This window comes from Homo sapiens, chromosome 12 (genome assembly GCF_000001405.40).
Source record: "Homo sapiens chromosome 12, GRCh38.p14 Primary Assembly".
Classification (NCBI taxonomy): Eukaryota; Metazoa; Chordata; class Mammalia; order Primates; family Hominidae; genus Homo; species Homo sapiens.
In genome coordinates this window covers 94,741,186-94,746,347 of record NC_000012.12, presented here as the reverse complement: position 1 = coordinate 94,746,347, position 5,162 = coordinate 94,741,186, and positions in this window count along the sequence as shown.

The window sequence follows — 5,162 nt, the reverse complement described above, 5'->3', positions numbered from 1 at the left end:
TTCATCTCCAGAATGTCATTAAATCCTGTGACACAGACAAATCCAATTGTTTAAGTTTTTAATTGAAACATATTATTAGCCCTCCTTTTCCTCACTATTACTTTTTATCACATTTTGGAGCAGATTTTGAGTATGGAGTAAGAGAAGGCGTAATTCTGAGGATGTTTTCTAGAAACTGACTCTGTTACCTTCGTTTGGTTCATTGTAGAAGGAATGCTGTGAAGAAATGCAGTGGGAAGGATAAAAAGGTAAATCGGTTTAAAAATCTTTAGTAAATATGAATTTGATATAGTTTTTAGTAATCCTGGAGGTTCTTTTTAACACATCTGCAAGGTCGTAGAGTATACTTGGTCAGTGGAGAGTTGGCTTAATGCAGTATAAGGGCGGCATACAAACAGGTTTGAAGTTGCTTGCTAAGAGAATCCAGGAAAATAAGTTATCTCTTTAAGTTTGTTCCACCTGAGTGAGCCAACGCCATCATGCTCATGTCCAGTGGAGTCATTAGCAGCGCCTTAAAGAAGAGAAGCAGGAGTGCCAGGAACTGCCTGGCTCCTGCTCACCCTGGATTTGCCAGGATTCCTGCCTTCTGCCCTCCCTGCGGGTCAGCCCCGTTCAGCTCCATTGCCATATGCACTGAGTAACTTTTCATCCTCTGCAGTCTCCTCATTGCCTTTCTCAGGCAGCAATTCATAGCTTATGTTGGCTTTTCTCTCCTTATTTTCAAAGCTTTCTCTGGGTGGAAAAAGCAGGATATTTGGAGTCAGTCTGGGTTTGAATCCTGACTTACCAGCTAGGAAATTTTACTTAAAAGTGGGGATCATGAACAAGTCTATAAATTTTTGTGTGATGAAGTCTTGTTTCCTGTGAAGCTGTTTATTTTCCACCATTAACGAAGGATGTTGTGTAGTCTCGGTGCATCTAGGAGGACAAAACTGGGAGTCTTGGGGATAAAGTTAAAATGAATTTAAAGCTAAAGTTCAATTGGGGCTCTGTTTGTTTTTTTAAATTGTGGCCGGAAATTAGCCTCTTTGAGGTTTTTCCAGATTTATTTTCATGAACAAGTTAAATTTCAAATTGTCAATATTCAAGAAAACATGACAATGTTGTTGTTTAATAATAATAAAAATAAAATGACTCCAAAAAAATGGGGATCACTAATAACCTTGTCCTAAGACTACTGAGTTTGAGATATTATAAGTGCAAAATGGTGCATCTGTAGCTGCTTTAAGCCTTCATTAGCTCCCCTTTGCCCATGGAATAAAATCCAAGCCCTCTTAGATTAAAACTCGGGGTCCTCAGTCCCTCCCCTTGTCTTCCTTCCCACCCCCATTACCTCCCGCCCAATACCCCGGCTCCAGGCCACCTCTCACCTCCCTGCATCTGCTTTACACCGGCCCTTTGCTCAGCTAAAGGGTTGTTCGTTGTTTAAGACTCAACTGAGCAAAAGAAGCCGGGACAAAAGTGTACATCAGAAGATTCTGTTTTTATGAAGTCCAAGAACACACAAAACTAATCTGTAATGAAAGAATTCAGAAATCGGAGAAGGGGGAGGGATTGATAGGAAAGGGATATGCTGGAACTTTCTGGGGGTGATGGAAGTGTTTTAAACCTTGTTTTTGATGGTGGCTACACAAACATATGCAGTTGTTGAAACTTATGAAACTGAATACTTAACATCTGTGCATTTTGTTGTATATTAATAATACCTTTCAAAAAATAAGTCATGTACATAATCTTCTCCAGAAAGCTTTCCCAGGTGAAATTTAGCCTCTCTTTATGTCCCCAACTCCGTGCACTCATTTCTGTCCTTGCATTTAGTACACTGCATTGTAAGTGTCTCCTTTTTATGGGTTCTGTGCTCTTTTAGTCTGTAAGTTCCTGTAAGGATTCAGACACTTGCTACCTGTGGAACCTTGGGAATGCTGCTCAACCTTAACCTGTCTATGCCTAAGTTTCCTAATCTAAAAATGGGAAAATAATAGTGTTTCCTACATGGGGTTATTTTGATGATGAAATGAGGATATGTATGAAAGGACCCAGTATGTAGTAGGCACTCAGTAATTATTAATCCTGTAACAGGGCAGAAAATGTATTCACGTTACACTTAGTGCAAAGAAAGGATAGCTTTATTTCTATAGCTAGCCCAATCCTCATTTGAGCCCCTCTTTTCTCCTAAGCAGGATAGCAGAGGAAAACTAAGTTTTATTCCAGTCTGATAACTCTGTCTCATCTAACAATTTAAACACCTAATAAATTATTTTAGTAAGTATTGATGAGAACAAAATGCATATCACTCGTTTTCTTCAGGTTCACTAAGAGCTTTCTGCAGTACATTGATTTAGAAGGTAATGCACAGTTTGAACCATTTCTGATTCCAGAAAACAAACAAACGTGAAGAAACCCTACTGTCTCTTGGCAGTTTGCAAATAGGTCATTAGTATCAACCATTATTATGCAGGAAAAAAAAAGTGAGCAAACCTTTTGACCTGAGTGTGGAAAACAAGATCTTTCCCCTGATGTTCAGTATGAAGAATGCCCACTCAAGAGCTGGGGGCCTCAGGCAGGAAGAAGATTAATCATGTAGCACCTTCCACTGTGACTTGACTATGCTGCCTATTCCAGTGGACTCCAAACAAGTGTGCAGATTAATAATTCATGCTGGCAATGACTTTGACCTCCCTGAGTCGTCTCCCTGATTAGCCAAACATTTAGTCATGGCCATAGATAAAGAGTAATTAAAAACTAAGGTCTTCTTTCTAGCCATCTCTGCACCCAACTGTAGATAGATACATCCTGGCCTCTGGCTGAATGTCCTTAGGTTGAATCCTTTTCCTTTAGCTTCACCCTACTGCATTGATTATTTCCTGTTCTGATTGCCAATCTGCAGTGACGTGTTCAAACCATGCCTGTGGGTACAGGAAGGTTACCTGGTGTGGGCTGAGAGTTGTGGTCATGGCCCTCCGCCTATCCAGATTCATTCAGATTCTGTACCAGCCTCTGAGGAGTGTGTGGGTGTCAGATAGGCCGGGTATCTTATGTGCCACAGGCTTGGACAGATCTCTGAACCTTCCTGAACCTCAGCTCCCTGGGCCTCCAAACCCAGACCAATAGTTTCTGCCCTGCCTGCCTCACAGGGGAGGAAGTGACAATACTTGGTAAATGTTTACAGTTGAAAACACATTTAAATGTAAATTGTTTTTGAAAGGGCAGATACTGTGTGATATCACTTATATAAGGTACCTGAGAGGAATAAAATTCACAGAGACAAAAAGTAGACTGGTGATTGCAGGGCCTGAGGAGATGGGCTAGAGAGTTGTTGTTTCAAGTTGTTGTTTAATGGGTACAGAATTTCAGTTTGGGATGATGGCTGTGTATCAGTGTAATACCACTGAACTGTACACTTAAAAATGGTGCACATGGGCTGGGCGCGGAGGCTCACGCCTGTAATCCCAACACTTTGAGAGGCCGAGGTGGGTGGATCACGAGGTCACGAGTTCAAGACCAGCCTGGCTAAGATGGTGAAACCCCATCTCTACTAAAAATACAAAAATGAGCTGGGCGCGGTGGCAGGCGCCTGTAATCCTAGCTACTCGGGGCAGGAGAATCGCTTGAACCCGGGCAGCAGAGGTTGAGTGAGCCGAAATCGCACTGTTGCACGCCAGCCTGGGCAATAGAGTGAGACTCCGTCTCAAAAAAAAAAAAAAAGAAAAAGAAAAAGAAAAAGGTTCACATAAGCTGGATGTGGTGGCGTGCACCTATAGTCCCAGCTACTCTGGAGGCTAGGGCAAGAGAATCGCTTATGCCTGGGAGTTCAAGGCAACATAGGGAGACCCATCCCTTTTAAAAAATGGTTTAAATTGTGGTGTATATTTTACTATAATTTTTAAAAAATGTTAGTCGTCGGCTGGGCGCGGTGGCTCACGCCTGTAATCCCAGCACTTTGGGAGGCCGAGGCGGGCGGATCACAAGGTCAGGAGATCGAGACCATCTTGGCTAACACGGTGAAACCCCGTCTCTACTAAAAATACAAAAAATTAGCCGGGCGCGGTGGCGGGCACCTGTAGTCCCAGCTACTCGGGAGGCTGAGGCAGGAGAATGGCGTGAACCTGGGAGGCGGAGCTTGCAGTGAGCCGAGATTGCGCCACTGCAATCCGGCCTGGGCTGAAGAGCGGGACTCCGTCTCAAAAAAAAAAAAAAAAAAAAATGTTAGTCGTCTTAATGTTCCCATACCTGCAAGTCTTCACAAGCTAACCCCGAATAGCATCCTTCCTGCCACTCCTGGTCCTTAGAATAGGATGCCAAACCCTCAGTCTCCTATGGCTTTCCCTCCTCTGAATGCACTGGTTGAATGGAGATGTTTGAGATGATCAAGTCTGTATTGAGCCCTGCCTTGGGTCAGGCACAGGACATACAAAGATCAATAGATGCAGTGCCTCAGGTCTGGTGTGGGATGCAGACCAGTCAACGGGGCATTTTGATACAGTGTGGGAGAGGCTGTGATGGGGTGGCCAGATTCTGTGGGAGGGCAGGAAGGCTTCCTAGGGTCCTGAAAGGCATATTGGAGTTAACCAGACCAGGAAACTGTCAGAGGCACAGCCGCTGCCTCCATTTCCCTAATGCTCCATTTACTCTCATCTCTGCCTTTGCTGGTGCTCTTCCTTTGGCTAGAATCCACCCTTTCCTTTCTTTCCCCATTAAAAACCCCCTCATCCTTAAAGTGCCAGCTGAAGTGCTGCCTCCCTTCTGGAGGCATTCCCTCCGCCCAGCTGGAATGACTCTCCCCTGCTCCTGAGCTCCCACAGCCCCCTCTTAGGTCCCCATTCAGCACATGTTTCATTCTGTCAGGTAATCCAGCTCTTTATATTTCTGTCTCTCTTGTTGGATGAATTTTGGGACTTTTATAGTTCCAAGTAAGAAAAACCAACAGGAACCAGCTGCAGCATAAAAGAGTCATTTATCAGAATACAGGGTGTCTTCCCTGGACCAAGATTGTTCCTGGCTGTCCCTGCTCATCTTTCCCCTTTCTCTGTCTGCTTCCAATCCACGTGGCAGAAGCAGGTGACATTCCACAAATTCCAGGTCTGGCCCACTTTTACCTTTCAAGAGCTCAGCCCAGGGAAGGTTTCGATGCTACTTGGGTCATTGATCACCCCTTGACCAAT